The following is a 17870-nucleotide window of genomic DNA, read 5'->3' as shown; positions in this document are numbered from 1 at the left end:
ATCATAGGCGTCAGCCACCACACCCGGCCAGGTTATACCCTTCTTAATTCTGGGGAGCCCAGGAGAAGCACTGGGTACTCAGGGTGTGGGTTGCCTTGACCTGGGGGAGGGTGGTCCTGGTGCTGCTTTCTGGATCACCTCACTCTGCAAAAGGGGTCATGAGACCAATAACGACGGCTTTCAATTTTTTTTTCCTAGACCCTTTTAGAGCTTGGTGCATCCCCAGATTATAAAGACAGTTACGGCCTCACCCCGCTGTATCACACAGCCATCGTCGGAGGTGATCCCTACTGCTGCGAGCTTCTCCTGCACGAACACGCCACTGTGTGCTGCAAAGATGAGAACGGCTGGCACGAGATCCACCAGGTACGTGGGCCCGCTTCTCCACTCTGTTGTACCCACGAACTGACTTCCCCTTCTCCTCCGATCCCGCAGATAAGCAGGGTGGCCCAAAGGTTAGATCCTGCCTTCAGGTATTTTGTTTGGCCTGCCCAGAGTTCCTGAAAATATGTGAATTAAAAATGATTTTAAAATGTGAACGTCAGTATTTGAAAACAGACACATTTGCATAGAAATAGACATTTCTGACTTCTCTGGAGAAACTGGAAGATGAGGCAAGGCTGCTGAGTTTCTGCACAGCAGGAGTGCCCTGCAGTTATGGGGTGGACGCCCCCTTCCCAGGAGCCCTGCCCTCTCCAAGTTCCCACCGTCCTGACAGGGCAGGATACCAGAAAGCACCGGTGTTTTCTGAGCACAGGTGAGCCCCAGGAAGTCCTGATTTGCACGCACGAGGGGCGTGTTTTTCAGGCCCAACCTTGCAACAGTTGGGTTAGGAGGTAGGTCAGCCTGGTCTTGGCAAGAAACAGATTTCACCGGCTGTCTCCAGTGAAAAGTCTTTACCTGATCAGGTAGAGGTGTGGACGGGGTTAAAGGCTGAGGACCCCATAGAAGAGCAGTCTTGGGGAGCCATCAGCACCTGTGAGCTGATGGGCAGGGAGAGGAGATGATGCTCCCGGGAGCAGGAGAGCCAGGGCTGAGGAGGGGGCCCGCAGGCCCATGTCAGGGAGGACTCAGGGAAGGAATATCTGCCTCTCTTCTCTTGGCTGAGCCCTGCCAGAGTTGGAGGACAGTGAGGGAGTGCTGTGGTGCAGGCTGCAGGCCAGGGTCTCCAGGCAGAGGGGTGAGGTGGGTCTGGGAGAGCTGATAGCACCTGTCTACCTAGGAGGTCAAGAGGAGGCTCTGGAACAGCAAGGGGAGGTCAAGGACAGAGGGCCCTGACTGGTTTCTTGCTTGGTTCTCTACACAGTGACTGCCATGGTTTCTCTGGCTACCTTGTGTTCTCCTCTGCCATTACCACCTTACACACCTGTAAGGGAGGTTATGCACTCTGCCCACTGTGGTCAGACTGGGCAGTGGGGGTGCCAGCAGGCCCCGCCCTCCCTGGGCTTTCTTGTGCTAGGTCAGTTCTGGTTCATCGTCGGCCCTGCAGCCTGGAGAAGCCCCTGTTCCTCCCGAGGGATGAGTAGGGGTCTGTGGGGCTGTTCATGGCAGCCCCCGGCCCACACCCAAGCTGGAGCCCGCAGGCAGGGAAGCAGTAATGACTGGTCTTTGGAAGTCCTCTTCCATGCACCCGCCATGAGATTTCTTGTCATTATTGTGCTTTTCTTTATGAAAAAGGAAAATAATTTTCCCCTGTGATCATTAATTTTATGTGTCAACTTGGCTAGGCTCTAGCTCCTAGATATTTGATCAAACAATATTCTAGTTGTTGCTGAGAAGGTGTTTTTTAAGATGGGATTAACATTTAAATCAGTGGACTTTGAGTTAAGCCGATGACCCTCCATGATGTGGGTGGGCCCCATCCAATGAGTTGAAGGCCTTAAGAGGAAAAAGACTGAGATCCCAAGAAAGAAGGAATTCTGCCAGAAAAAGACTCCAGATTCCCGCTGAACACTGCCCTGGGTCTCCAGCCTGCCCTGCAGATTTCAGACTTACAGCCTCCGTGATTGCATGAGCCAACTCTTTAAAATATTTCTATCTTTAATTTTATGTGTCTAAGCTCTAAACTTTTAAAAATTCTCTGCGTGCATATACATATATAACATATAAATGTATCTATGTACACAGACACACACACACACACACACACACACACACACACAGAGGTTGTGTTTCTCTGGAGAACCCTGGCTGATACACCCTGAATGTAGAAGCAGCAGGACACACACACACACACACACACACACAGAGGTTGTGTTTCTCTGGAGAGCCCTGGCTGATACACCCTGAATGTAGAAGCAGCAGGACACACACACACACACACACACACACACACACACACACACGTAGTGTTTCTCTGGAGAACCCTGGCTGATACACCCTGAATGTAGAAGCAGCAGGGGACACACACACACACACACACACACACACACACACAGAGGTTGTGTTTCTCTGGAGAGCCCTGGCTGATACACCCTGAATGTAGAAGCAGCAGGACACACACACACACACACACACACACACAGAGGTTGTGTTTCTCTGGAGAACCCTGGCTGATACACCCTGAATGTAGAAGCAGCAGGACACATACACACACACACACACACACACACACAGGTTGTGTTTCTCTGGAGAACCCTGGCTGATACACCCTGAATGTAGAAGCAGCAGGATACACACACACACACACACACACACACGTTCTGTGTCTCTGTAGAACCCTGACTGATATATCCTGAATGTGGAAGCAGCAGGTGAATTCTTGCACAGCACTCGGAGGTTTTTGGGTTGGGGGAGCTGCTTCCCCTCCTCAGTCTCCTGCCCTGCCCTCGCTTTGTCCCTGGTGGAAACTCGCCAGTGTTTCTGTCCTTGTTCCCTCCTCCTTCCTCCCCTTGACCTCTTCCCCCTTTGTCAACCAACGGTTCCAGCCCCAGATGGCCCTGCCATCCCTCGGCTGTGTGTCAGTGTCAGGCCTGGCCCTTCTGAGCCTCTCCACAGCATCTGGCCCTGGCCACGCTCATTCCCTGGCCCCCTCCTCATTTGTGTCTGAGCTGTTTCAGGGGGTCCCCAAGAGGTCTCCTGGCCTGACCACGCTCGCCTCTTCACGCCTGACCCACTTCCAGCCATTCCGGGTGCACCACAGACCCTACCCACTGCTAATGGGTGCTCATCAGCCACAAACGTCGTCTACTGGGTGTGAGCCCCAGCCATGTGTCTCGGTGTCCTGAATACACAGCCTGCAGCAGTGAACAGAAATGCCTGATGCAAGCCCCTGGTGTTCCCGTGGGGGGAAACCAGACATGAGATAGAAAGACGAACATAAATTACACACACACACACACTCGCACGCACGCATGTACATACAGGTCCACATGTGCGTGGACATGCTTCTGAGCAGGCCTGACAGTGTTCTGTATTTCTGGGCACTGGTGCTCATGCAGTGGCCATGCAGACGCTCACGCCCTGAGACATGGCCCCGTTCCTCTGCCCGTCTCCTCTCCTTGCTGCGCTTGGCTGTCAGCTCTGTGCTGGTGTTTTTGAGGCCAAGCCCGTCTGCATGGCGTGAGCTTCGGCTCCTGTTGAGGATGTGGAAGAGGCAGCTCCCGAAGGAGAATCTCAGCTGTGTTGGGAGCTGTCCCAAGCTTCCAAGGTGACCTGCTTGGAAAAGGGCAGTTCTTGGGACTGCCAAAGCGCTAATGAGCTTGGTTTTTAAAACTCACTAGGCTGATTTGAGGTCAAGGTCAAGTTCAGGACGAGGGGCGGCCCCTGGTGGGGTGGTGCAGTCACCCACAAGGTCAAGTTCAGGATGAGGGGAGGCCCCTGGTGGGGTGGTGCAGTCACCCACAAGGTCAAGTTCAGGACGAGGGGAGGCCTCTGGTGGGGTGGTGCAGTCACCCACAAGGTCAAGTTCAGGACGAGGGGAGGCCTCTGGTGGGGTGGTGCAGTCACCCACAAGGTCAAGTTCAGGACGAGGGGCAGCCCCTGGTGGGGTGGTGCAGTCACCCACAAGGTCAAGTTCAGGATGAGGGGCGGCCCCTGGTGGGGTGGTGCAGTCACCCACAAGGTCAAGTTCAGGATGAGGGGAGGCCCCTGGTGGGGTGGTGCAGTCACCCACGAGACATTTCTACCAGCAAACATGGCTGGGCGAGGGGCGGGAGTCATGGAACCCTGAACACCCACATCTTTCTCGAGTCTCACAGGGTCTCCACCGAACAGCTGCCGGCCCCCAGGGGACAAGGCTGAGTTGTGAGTCTCTAAGAGACATGGACGTTGGGGACGTCCCTCCCGCCTGGCCAAATGGATAATGAGTCTTGTTCTCAGTCAACTCAAAGTCGGTGATTCACGTGAACAGAACTGTCATTTGATGTCGCTGGATGACACCATAGAAACCACTCAATGTTGTTTGTGTGTTCAGGTGTGATGAGTTCTCCAGAAAAACAGAACCAATAGGGTGTGCACATGCATGCATGTGTGTGTGTGTACAGATACAGAATTTTTTAAAATAGTATTTTGAAGAATTGGCTCATGCAGTGGTGGAGCTGCAAGTCCAAAATCTGCAGGGCAGGCTGGAGACCCAGGAAGAGTTGATGCCGCTGCGGGGATCCTGTTTGTCTCTGGCAGAATCTCTTCCTCCTCAGGGGACCTCAGTCTTTTTTCTCTTGAGGCCTCCAACTGATTGGATGGGGCCCACCCACATTATGGAGAATCATCAATTTAGTCTACTGGTTTTGAGAGCAGTCACTGACTTCATGAAGACAGGAGCGCCCAAGGAAGAGGAAGGTTTAAATTCAGGTTTCCTTTAGTGAATGAGTCCTCCAGGCACAGGACAGAGGCGTCTCTTTGTAAAAATAGTCAAATGCAGCCAGGTGCGGTGGCTCACGCCTGTAATCCCAGCACTTTGGGAGGCTGAGGCAGGTGGATCACCTGAGGCCAGCAGTTCGAGACCAGCCTGGCCAACATGGTGAAACCCTGTCTTACTAAAAATACAAAAATTAGCCAAGTGTGGAGGTACCACGCCTGTAATTCCAGCTACTTGAGCGGCTGAGGCGTGCAAATCGCTTGAACCCAGCAGGCAGAGGTTATAGTGAGCCGATATTGCGCCACTGCACTTCAGCCTGGACAATAAGAGCAAAACTACAACAACAACAACAACAACAACAAAACCAGCTAAATGCGTATGGGACCCGAAGCTCGCTTGTTCTCTGTGAGAATGCCTGCTTGAATTTGTGTTTTCCAGACATGTCTTCCCTTTAGACATCACAGTGCTCTGGTTGCATTGCTGTTTTCCTGTTGAGCTCTGAAGGTGTGATGCAGGCTAAAACCTCCTTAAACGTGGAGTAGTTCACAGAGTCCTGAATCCAGCCGCCAGCCCTTTTGCCAGAATAGCCCCTGTGTCTCAACTTTGGGGATTCCTGGAGCTCCGTCCTTTCCCCTCCCACACCCCTCCTTTTTCCTTTTTCCTGCCCTCTCTCCCAACCAGGCAAATGTCTCCGGGCCCATCTCTCCAGCTGGCCCTGGGATGGAGGTAACGGTGGAGGCTGGCAGGAGCCCTGACCATCAGTCACTCACTGCAGCTCTCAGCTGTGACTCCTGGCCTGCAAAGGGCCAGGTTCTGTCCCTGAGGCCCTGCGCTTTGCATTCAGAGCCTGGCTGTCCCAGAGCCACCCGGCCACCTTGGTCCCGGGGCCTGAGCCTGTGCAGCTGCACTGGTACCTTGGAGGCTTGAGCTCTGGGGCAGTGCACCTGCTCCCACCTCAGCTTAGAAAATGTGGAGCAGGGTTTGGAAAGCCAGCCAGGTGCGTTCACTGCCCTCTGGTGGTCTGCTGCCTGTTCATGAAAGGCCCGGAAAGCCATTTTCTCCCCTGCTAAAGATTCTCAGTGATAATGTGAAGCAACTTTGCCTTCGCGAGCCTCCTCTCATTCATCTGCAGGGCCCTTGTGCCTATCAGATGATAAGGGACGGAGCAGATAAGGGATGGGTGCGGGTGCCCTGCACGGGCCTGCAGGAGCAGCGGACAGTGCCGCCTGCCTCCCAGATCATCCTCATAAGTGCTCACATTTACCCTGCCAAGTGGCCCGGTAAATGCCACAGTGCGGGTCTCAAGTCCATCTCTAGCAGGATCTCATCCTTCTCAGGGGACCTCAGTCTTAAGGCCTTCAACTGATTGGATGGGGCCCACTCAATATTATGGAGAATCATCTGCTTAACTCCAAGTCTAATGATATATATATTATTATATATAATATATTTATATATATTTATATTATATATTATATATAATAAATTATGTATTACATAATTATATAACAAATTATATATTACATAATTATATATAATATAATATATAAATTATAAATATATAATATGTATTATATATTATAAATAATATATCATATATCATATATTATAAATGTATATCATATATAATATAACATATACTATATCTTATATAACATATATAATATAACATATACTATATCTTATATAACATCTTATATAACATATATAATATAACATATATAATATATAACATATATAACATAATATATTATATAATTTAATATATTATATAACATAATATATTATATAATTTAATATATTATATAACATAATATATTATATAATTTAATATATTATATAACATAATATATTATATAATTTAATATATTATATAACATAATATATTATATAATTTAATATATTATATAACATAATATATTATATAATATATTATATAACATATTATATAATATATATAACATATAATATGTTATATATAATAATATATAACATAATATAATATATAACATAATATATATAATATATAACATAATATATATAACATATTAATATATAACAATTTATTATGTTATATTAATATATAATTAATATATATATTAAGGTTATATAAATATATAATATATTAAAATAACAATATATATTATTGTTGTATAATATTATTATATAATATAACATAATATATTATGTTGTATCATATATTATATAATATAAATATAATATATATTATATAACATAATATATTATATAATATATTATATTTTATATAATATAATATATATAACATATAATATGTTATATATTATATTATATATATAACATATATAATATAATATATAACATAATATATTATATATATTATAATATATAATATAATATATATTTAATATATATATTATATAATATATTATATAATATATATTTTATATAATATAATATGTTATATATTTTATATAATATAATATATAGCATATATAATATAACATATATATTATATATTATATAACATATATATTATATATATATATATATTTAAGATGGAGTCTTGCTCTGTTGCCCAGGCTGGGGTGAAGTGGGGCAATCTTGGCTGATTGCAACCTCCGCCTCCTGAGTTCAAGCAATTCTCTTGCCTCAGCCTCCCAAGTACCTGGGATTAGAGGCGTGTGCCACCACGCCCAGCTAATTTTGTATTTTTAGTAGAGACAGGGTTTCAACATGTTGGCTAGGCTTGTCTCGAACTCCTGACCTCAAGTGATCTGCCCTCCTCAACCTCCCAAAGTGCTGGGATTACAGGAGTGAGCCACCATGCCTAGCCTAAAGTCTACTGATTTTGAGAGCTGTCACTGATATCATTAAAACAGGAGTGCTCCTGGAAGAGGAACATTTAATTTCAGATTTCCTTTAATGAACAAACCCTTCCAGGCACATGACAGAGGCTTGTCTTTGTAAAAATGGTCAAATGTGTATAGGACCCGTAGCAAACCCAGGCACATGACAGAGGCTTGTCTTTGTAAAAATGGTCAAATGTGTATAGGACCCGTAGCAATTTGGGGGCATTCATTGTCCTGAGCTGCTTTAATTGCACTATGATTCTATATCCTCAGAGCTGGTTACTTCTCATTGCTGTTTCCCATATGAGTTCACAGGCCCAGAGAGGGCAGGTAACTTGCCCAAGGCCACGGAGCAAGCAGTTGGCTGAGCTGGATTCACTCCTGGCCTGTCTCTTACCAGAAGCCTGGTTCTCTATGCTGCCTGTAGGGTTCTCACATCCAAACCACTCACAGCACATTTGTGGCAGAAGAAATTACAGGGGCAGGTGGGTTTTCCTGGACCTCACTGGGCTGTGCCTGGCTCTGCCCTCTCGGGAGAAGCACCTCCGAGCTCTCAGGCTGATGGGCTTTGCATTTAAAGTCTGTGTCTCTGTTCTAGCACCTGGAGAATGGACAGCCCTGTCCCAGGGTTCTGGGCGTTCATCGTGTGGGAGAGCCTGCGCGGCCACAGCCAGGCCTGCTCACAGATGCTGCAGGTGTACTCCAGGGTTCCCCAGGCCGCTGCTTTCCCATCATTGTCTCAGGCCAGGTGCACATGGCCTAAGGACACATTTCAGATCCACCCTCCACTTCACACAGTGGGGATATGCCCCATCCCCACAGGCTGATGTTAGAAGAGCCCCATTTGAGCTCAGGCTGTCTGCAAATTATCTTAAAAGTTGTTATTCGGGCCGGGTGCGGTGGCTTATGCCTGTAATCGCAGCACTTTGGGAGACCAAGGCGGGCAGATCACGAGGTCAGGAGATCGAGACCATCCTGGCTAACACGGTGAAACCCCATCTCTACTAAAAATACAAAAAAAATTAGCAGCAAGTGATGGCTGGTGCCTGTAGACCCAGCTACTCGGGAGGCTGAGGCAGGAGAATGGCATGAACCCAGGAGGCAGAGCTTGCAGCGAGCTGAGACTGCGCCACTGCACTCCAGCCTGGGAGACAGAGCAAGACTCTGTCTCCCCCCCCCAAAAAAAAGTTGTTATTCAAATTACCCTGTTTTGTTTTGTTTTTGATTACCAAAAAATTACCCATGCATCATGGAAATCTTGGAAAATACAAAGAAGTATAAAGAAGCAAGTTAAGAAACACCCCAATGCATTCCCACAACCCAAGGACATCAGGGGTCAGATTTGGGGGTATTCATTCTGTATTTTTAATTGCTAAAGACTTTTACATCCACCGTGCAACTTCACAGCACGCTGGCCCTGGCCACAGGGGGTGTGGTCCTGGAGAGGATGCCGCTTGGTGAGGGATCCAGACCCTGCGTTTCCATGTGCTGAACCCCGGTACCTTCCTTGGGGCAAAGCCTGGCTCTCTCCCTCCCTCTCTGAGTTTGACTCAGTATCTTCGGGATGAGGGACTCTCCTCATGCTGTCTGTTGGCCATATTCTGGCCTGGGTGTTATGCAGCCTGGGGTTGCAAACCCACCTCATCGCTCGCTGGCTCACCTGAGCAAGTGCCCCACCCTCTCTGAGCTTGTGTGCTAATCTCTCAGGTTGGCTGAGTAACAGTTTGTAGAGCTCTGGAGACAGCTATGACAGAATTTACGTGAGGCATTTTCTGCAGTGCCCGGCATAGACCAGGTGCTTAATAAATGTCCCTATCATTATTGTCATCATCTGTCCCCCCATCATCATCCTCATTGTCATCATTGTCATCATCATGTGGCCACGTCTGACGTCATCATTAGAAGTAAATAATACATTAGGCTGGGCACAGGGGCTCACACTATAGTCCCAGCAGTTTGGGAGGCTGAGGCAGGCAGATCACTTGAGCCTAGAAGTTCAAAACCAGCCCAGCCAACATGGCAAAACTTGTCTCTACCAAAAATACAAAAATTAGGGCATGGTGGCACATTCCTGTAATCCCAGCTACTTTGGAGGCTGAGGTGGGAGGACCCCCTGAGCCTGGAGGTGGAGGCTGCAGTGAGCCAAGATTATGCCACTGTACTCCAGCCTGGGCAACCAGAGTGAGAACCTGTTTCAGAAGGGTTGGGGGGGGGGCGGGCGTTAAGAAACAATCCGTTGTATTCAGAGAGTGCCTACCACACCTGCTCCCAGCCCCTCGTTTGATTTTGCTCCCATTGTGCAATGGGTGTGACATCAGTCTGAATGTTGTTACTGGCTGCTATTTGTTATTTATCGCATTTAAATGAAGAGTGTCCGCCTTAAAGAAATAGTTTCGGGCCACAGTGACTTCTCCTCTCCTCCTGCTCCAGGCTGCCCCCTGCCCATCCCTGGCCGGATGCCCTCAGCTCTTGAGCCTCTCTGGGCCCCACGGCGAGGGGACAGGCCCCTGATCCTCCCAGGCCTGTGGGAGGTTCTTTGCTGGAGCCCCACGTTATGTCGTTCTGGGTCCAAGCTTTCTGGTTACCTTCCTGCCAGGGTGGGACTGTGTACAGCCCAGCGTGAGCTGCCTGGTAGAGATGGGAGTCAATGCTTGACTGGAAAGTTAGCATTTAGAATGGGATGGAGCCACATGGGTTGTGGTCTTCCTTCAGATTGAGGTTTTTCTAGTGTACTGTGGTACCCACCGTGTCCAGGTGCTGAGGCGATCACTGTCCATCTAGGTATCGAGGTGATTGCTGTGTCCAGGCCCCAAGATGACCATTGCCTAGGCACTGAGATGACCACTGTTCAGGCACCGCAGTGACCGCGGTGTCCAAGCCTGGGCTTGGTCACGGTAAGCACAATGCCAGGTAGCACAGGAAGGGCCAGCGTGAACAGCAGCCAGGTGGAGAGCCCAGGAGCTCCACAGTGCCAGCCAGGAGTGGCTCATTCTGGCCAGGGGACGTGGGAGCAGTGTTGGAACCAGGCTGTGGTGCTGGCAGGTGACCCTCAGATCTGGGCAGCTGGCATGCATTGGCTCCGGGGGGACATTGTGAACAGGGTTCTGGCCCTTTGTGCTGGCATGTGCTTGGCAGCCTTGGAACTGGGACCGAGCCTCACTGTGGGACGTGGGTGCTGGCAGGTACTGCACCTTTCCAGATGAGCACCTCCAGGGTGTGAGAGTGTGGGGTCCCTGCCAGGTGGCAGGACCAGAGCACGGGAGCCCTTCCCCGTGTCACTCTGGACCTGGGGCTCAGGGTCTGCCCCTGGGCACGAGCGGCCGAGCCTCTGTGGCCCCCGTGTCTGGAGCCGCAACAGTGAGCTGTGCTTTCAGGGGATCAGCTCTGAATTGACCTGGGAGGTCAGTTCCATATTCTGAGCCCCTCTGGCCTGGCAAGGTTCTGTTTGGAGAAGGAAGAGAGGCATCCTCTCTCTCTGAGCCTCCAGAGGGAATGAGGACCCTTGAGTACCTGCCTTCCCAGTCAGCCCTGACTCTTCAGGGACATGCGGGGAACAGGAGAGGGGATGGGTGAAGACCCCGAGACCAGCACCCCACCCTCTGCACTTTGGCAGGTCCTCTATCCTGCCCTCCTGACATAGGTGACATCTTTAAGAGACCTCATCTTTCCAAAAATCATGTTATGAGAGTGATGGGCTCCATGGGGAAGGTGGGCAAGGGCCGCAGCTTTATGTGGGAATGCCAGTCATCTCTCCTTTTGGAATTATAGCATGATGTCTTTTGTCTGTGATCATTTCAGGCTGAACAGCACACATTAGTAGACCCAAAGTGATTGTGTTTGCTGCATAGGGCTGCCACTGCAAAGTTCCTCAAACAATAGACATTCATTATCTCACAGTTCTGGAGGCTGGAGTCCCAAACGAAGGCGTCGCAGGGCTGGTTCCTCCTGAGTCCTCTCTCCTTGGCTTGCAGACACCGCCTTTTCTCTGCATCTTCACAGGGTCGTCCCTCTGTGTGTCTGTGTCCCCAGCTCCTCTTCTTATAAGGATACCAGCCAGGCCAGATGGGATTAGGGGCCCCCTAATGGCCTCATTTTAACTTAATCACCTCTCGAAAGACCCTCTTCACATACAGCCCCATGCGGAGGTACTGGGGGTGGGGACTCCAACGCATGAATGCTGCAGGGATGCAATTCAGCCCGCAACACCAACAAAACTGAACTAGCCACTTTCTGGTTTGCATCACAGCCCGTCCGCTGCCCGTGTTCCTGCATTCATTCAGGTGCATTGGCCTCCTTGACTACTGGGCCAGCAGGAAGACCACAGCCAGCCTTTGAAAACCGTGGTATGCGGGGCCACGGAGCAGCTGGTGGCTCAGGCCATGCGAGGGGGATTTGCTTGTGTTTGGACGAGACGTTGTTTCTCTACTGACGGGCAGCCCACTTCCTGACCCAGTGAGAGCCGAAATGATGTGACTCTTTGTTGTGTGGGCTGTGGTGTCTCTACCTCATGTCACAAGGCATATGTTTTGGGAGAAATGCCTAAGTGTGGTTGGGAACAATTTTGTTTGGGGCACAGAGCCAAGCAGAAGTGATAGGGGGTTCGTCTCAGCCGACCTGTGCTGCTCCCCTGCAGTGCAGTGACCTCCCCGCTGCTCTGGTTGCTGTGCTGGGCATTGCACAACCCCAGGTGGCGCCGTTCCTCTTGCCATAGTTTTAGGTCCTGTAGATGTATCACCAGTGTCCAGCAGGTGGCGTTAAATGGCTTGAAGGAAGGAGCACCCTTTTTTCTAATTCACACCAAGTCTTGTGGTTGCACAGGGCGGGTGGGACGCTAGGCATCGCTGGGGCAAACAGTCTCGAGGGGAGCCATCTCCAGGTGCCCCTGCCCAGGCCTCAGCAGGAGATTCAGAGGCAGCAGACATGGGTGGAGCCTCCCACACATGCATTTTCCAAAAAGCACCTCAGGAGAGTGGGTACGGGGTGCAGGTGTCAAGGGCAGTGTTTTGCCTTTCATCCCATTACTCTCCACCCTCCTATCACCCTCTCAGCTGTCTCAACAGCCAGAGACCAGACACCCTTTTCAAAATAAGAAAAGGAGGTTAGTGTTGCTTCTCTTGTGGGAGGATGAATTCCTTCTTTTAACACTTTGGTAGCTTTCAGTATCTTTGTGTCAAGCGAGTTCGTTCTTTCTTTCCTTCTTTCCCTCCTTCCCCACTTCCCTCTCCTCTCCTTCCCTCCCCTTCCTTCCCCTCCCCTCCCCTTCCTTCCCCTCCCCTCCCCTCCCTTCCCCTCCCCTCCCTTCCCCTCCCCTTCCTTCCCCTCCCTTTCCCTTTCCCTTTCTCTTTTTCTTTCTCTCTCTCTCTTCTCTCTCTTTCTTACTCTCTCTTTCTTTCTCTCTTTTCTCGGAGTCTCACTCTGTCTCCCAGGCTGGAGTGCAGTGGCGTGATCTTGGCTCACTGCAAGCTCCGCCTCCCGGGTTCACGCCATTCTCCCGCCTCAGCCTCCCAAGTAGCTGGGACTACAGGCACCCGCCACCACACCCGGCTAATTTTTTGTATTTTTAGTAGAGACGGGGTTTCACTGTGTTAGCCAGGATGGTCTCGATCTCCTGACCTCGTGATCCGCCCGCCTCGGCCTCCCAAAGTGCTGGGATTACAGGCATGAGCCACCACACCTGGCCTATTAACTTTCTTTTTAAAATTGTAAATTACTGTTTCCATTTCCAGCTTATAGAATAGTTGCAAGAATAGTACAAGGAACTCCCATATGCCCTCCACGCGGAGAGCACATTTGAGTGGTGACGGTGTCCCAGTAACATCCCTGATAGAAGAGGATCCAGCCTGGGACCTGCCTGGAGCCTTTCCATCTGGGAGACTCCCTCGGGCTTCCCTTAATTCCTATGGCTGTGACTGTTTTGAAGATTTTGGGGCGGTCATTTTGTTGGGTTTGCTCAGTGTTTGCTCGTGATGGGATCCAGCATATGCATTTGGCAGGAATGCCTTAGAAAGGATGCTGTGCTGTCAGCATCACACCTTCACGGGGATACATGGGGACCATTCGCCTGGTACTCATTGTGGAGGTCACACCGACCACCTAGTCAGGTGGGGTCTGTTGGGTTTCTCCTCTTTTGATGCAGGGCAGGTGAGCCCAAAAATGGGGGCTTAGCCCAGGAGGGCTCTTGGCTCCACCCAGGAAAGAATTCAAGGGCAGGATGGTGATGTTGGCAAAACCTTTATTGAAGCAGCTGTGAACAGCAGCAGAGACTGCTCCTTGCAGAGCAGGGCTGCCCCAGAGGCAGTGTACCCAAAGCAGCAGCTCAGAGGCCGGGCTGCACTCACATTTATACCCACTTTTAATTACATGCAAATTATGGGGCAGGTTCTGCAGGAATTGCTAGGAAAAGGGTGGTAACTTCTGAGTCGTCAGGCCATTGCCAGGGAAAGGGGTGGTAACTTCTGGGTGTTGCCATGGCAACAGTAAACTGATGTGGCACACTGATGGGCGTGTCTTATGGAAAGCTGCTTCTGCCCCGCCCTGTTTTAGCTAGTCCTCAGTTTGGTCCGGTGTCTGAGTCCCGCTTCCTGAGTCCCACCTCCTGCCTTACTTTGCTCCTTTGTAATTAATAGATCTTGTTTGGTGATCTTTGAGGCTATGCAAAAATCTGTTTTCTCATACCCCTTTCACCTGACAGTTTTGGCATCCATTGGCCTTTCTTGCCAGAATTAATGCTATTATGGTTGCTAAATGGAGATTTTTTTTTAATCCTACCATTGCTTCTACATTATTAGTTGGCTTGCTGTTGTAAAGAAAAGCTTTCTCTTCTTGTTTATTTATTCATATATTTACAACAAGGCAGACTTGCAGAGTTCTCTTTATTCAGGAGGTAATAATCTGTTATTATTATCCCAGTTTTAGCCAGTGGGTGTCCCTTCAGGATGGCTCCTGTGTCCTTGGGACACAGCCCCATTGATTTTTTTTTTTTTTTTACCATTTCCTTTATTTCTGGCACAACAAGATATTTCAAGCTCACCTTGCTCTTTCCTTGCCTCAGGAATCAGCTGCTTCTCCAAGGAGCCTGATTCTTTTTAGTGTGGAGTGGTATTTAGAAGCCAAGGTGCAGGTGCTTGGGGTGCTGATGGCTGCTGGGCTGTTGCTGGTCCTGCACCCTCTCAGTAGGCAGAGTTAGGGATGGGTAGACACACAGGCATCCACATTTTCATTTTTATTAGTCTCTATATTAGGAACCGTGAGTTTCTACTGATACTCCCATTCCAAGCCAACACCACAAGGCATATTCTAGTTTTCTCCTGTACTGTATTTGTAACTTCCTTGACAGTGAGAGCCCAGCTCCCATTCCCTTTCCTGAGTGTCCTTGTGTGTGCAGAGCCCTGCGTGCAGCCGTCTGTGGACCCTTCTGCCCACCACCTGGCTTGGATCCCCCTCACCCCCCTGCATGGCAGCTGCATCTTCCTCAGCAGGTGTGAGCTCCGTGCCTCAACCACCAGGGGTTAAAACAGAAAGAAGAGACTAGCCGAAATGACACTTAAAAAAAAAAAATTACTGCTAGTGCTAAGACTGTGGGATTCTGGGTGACTTTTGGTTTTTGTTCAGCCCTTTTCTGTATTTCCCGGGTTTGTGTGTTATAAAACAATGGATGTGGGAAAAGTGGAAAATGGAAGCATGCTCTTGGGAACACGCCTACGAGACATCCACCCGGAGTCAGCGGTTCCGTTTCATCTCTTCCCATTGAGCCTATTTTGCCCTTGCAAGGGAAGAGTGCTCTGGTGCCATCTGACTGATGGAACTTACAAGCTCATAAATTCAGATTAACCGGGGGAAGGGGAATAATGAGTGTGGATTAATTGTTCAGTGTTTTTATGCTAACATTAGTTGTCTTTATTGACCACAGAGCAATTAAATTAAGCTTTAACAAAGTGTTGCCTCCCAGAAGTCCTTTGGGGAGTGCCAAATAGCCAGGGATCCTTCAGTTCAAGGAACACAAATCCCAATGCAAACGACTGGGTGAGGGGAGGGAGTTATGCCTCATTGTTATGTCCCGGAAATTCCAGGGTCAGTTGCAGCTTAGAGGGGCTCAGACAGTGTCATCTTGGCTTTGTGCATGTCTCTTCCTGTCTCCTCTCTTTCTCTCTTTCTTTCCTTTCCTTTCTTCCTCTCCCTGCCCCTGTCACACATCCCTTCTGTGTTGAGGGTCCCAGCAGCTCCCAGGCTCTGTCACTTTTCTGCTCCCCACTCTGGAAGAAGGAAAGAACTTTTTCCCCAGTAGTTGTGATGAATGTTCTAGCTTGGGACTTGGTAGCTTCTCTAAGGTCAGCTGGGCGTCCCTTACTGTGCCTGGGGAGTTGGAACCTGATGGCTCCTGCCTATGTCCTGTGCCTCTGCAGGAGCAGGGTGGGGAGGCCTTCCCTGGACCTCTGAGAGTGGAGCTGGGGTAGCCCCCAAAGGCAAACGCAGGTGGAGTTCCCAGAAGAAGGGGCCATGGGGGCCGGGCAGGTGACAGCAAGGAAACCTGCAACAGGGATCTACTTTATAAATTAATGAGATTTGTGGGAGACACAGCAATGGTAAATGGAAATTTCTCGTGTGTGTGTGTGGTTTTTTTTTTTGTTTTTCGTTTTTTGTTTTTGTTTGTTTTTTTTTTGTTTTGTTTTGTTTTTATAGCTCATCCAATTAATAGTTTCAATATCTTCCCTGTCATCTTTCCTCACTGTTAATTGCTGAGGTGTAGCTCTTTCTCGTGGACCCTGAGAAGGTGAAATTCACCTCTATCTGTCTCAATTAGCAGTAGAGCAGGATTCATGAGAACCCCTTCCTGGGCTACCATGGCGCCTACTGCTCTCAACACCCCTAGGCTGCCTGCCCTTGGTGGGGCTCACCTCTTTCCCTCCCGACCCTGGGATTGAGATGTGTTAGGTCAGGACCGACTTTTCTCCAGGTCCAAGGTTGTGGCCACCATGTCGAGCAGTGTGTGGCTGGACAGAGGGGCCCTCATCACCTGTGCGGGGACCTCCCTGGCCCCTGTGAGCTTGGGTGGGGAGGGGCATCACTGACTCACCAAGTGCTGACTCAGTGCCCAGCCTCGTGTGAGGCCCTGTGGTGTTCTTTGTCCCACGTGATTCTCATCTGAACCCTGTGAGGGTTAAGGGTTGTTTCTGCCTACAGATGAGGGTGCACATAGGTACTCAGGCGAAAGTTCTGATAAATGGTTCAGGACTGGGTCTGTTTGACCCCTGGGCCCTGACGGTTCACAAGTCACACATGTTGCAGTTCTCAGAGAGGAGTTATCATAGTATGGGTCTGCCCTACCCCTGCGTCCTGCAACTTACTTAGGAGCTGGACTGCATTAAAGCAGTCGTGGGGCCGTCCGTCGCACGTCGAAGGACAGGGCTCACTCCTGTGGATGCAGTGCAGGGCTGTGAAGGCCTCTCCTGGCCATTTTGTGCTGCCCCCTTGGAAGGGGGAGCTTGGGTAACTGAAGCCGGGTCTGAGCCTTCTGGTTTGCATCTTGTGGAGCTGGGCACTGAGGATGGGAGAAAGACATCCTGCACCTCTGGGCTCTAGGCCCCGGGATCAGGATGGAAGGGACTTTGGGGCCCCTTCCCAGACCCTCTGTCTCACAACTGAGCACCAGTCCCCAATCCCACCATGAAGGTCTTTCTCCCTGATCCACAGCCAGGGGTCTGGTGGTGCATGCTGATGTCTTTAGAGCGCTTGCCCAGATGGTGGGTGGGTGGTTGGGGTCTGCACAGGCCCTGCCCTGCCTTGGGGTTCTGGTGGAGCAGCCGAGTGGCTGGTGTACTTTGTGTGTGCATGCGGCTGTCGTGGCGGAGGGTTCCTGATTCACAGCCTGGGTTCTGTGTTTCAGGCCTGCAGGTACGGGCACGTGCAGCACCTGGAGCACCTGCTGTTCTACGGGGCAGACATGAGTGCCCAGAATGCCTCGGGGAACACGGCCTTGCACATCTGCGCCCTCTACAACCAGGTGAGTGCTGAGCGCATTTAAAGGAAATAATGTATACAGTGGTCCATTTCCAAAACAAAGTGCCTTAAATTGGCTTACGTCAGCCGGGCGCGGTGGCTCATGCCTGTAATCCCAGCACTTTGGGAGGCTGAGGCGGGCGGATCACGAGGTCAGGAGATCGAGACCATCCTGCTAACATGGTGAAACCCTGTCTCTACTAAAAATACAAAAAATTAGCCGGGCATGGTGGCAGGCACCTGTA

General features: G+C 49.8%; 1 protein-coding gene across 19 annotated transcripts in view; it reads left to right on the top strand.

The window, feature by feature from the left end:
* Positions 1 to 17870, top strand: part of SHANK2 (SH3 and multiple ankyrin repeat domains 2) — a 785381-nt gene that overhangs the window by 160447 nt on the left and 607064 nt on the right. For all 19 annotated transcript variants that reach the window (NM_001441030.1, NM_001441032.1, NM_001441037.1 and 16 more), the window contains 2 exons: positions 199 to 366; positions 17513 to 17629. In NM_001441030.1, the coding sequence (NP_001427959.1) occupies positions 199 to 366; positions 17513 to 17629 (285 nt within the window). The remainder of the gene's footprint in view (positions 1 to 198; positions 367 to 17512; positions 17630 to 17870) is intronic.

The sequence above is a fragment of the Homo sapiens genome, chromosome 11, assembly GCF_000001405.40.
Source record: "Homo sapiens chromosome 11, GRCh38.p14 Primary Assembly".
NCBI lineage: Eukaryota > Metazoa > Chordata > Mammalia > Primates > Hominidae > Homo > Homo sapiens.
The sequence above is the reverse complement of the archived record's forward strand: the minus strand, read 5'-3'. Positions and strand labels throughout refer to the sequence as shown.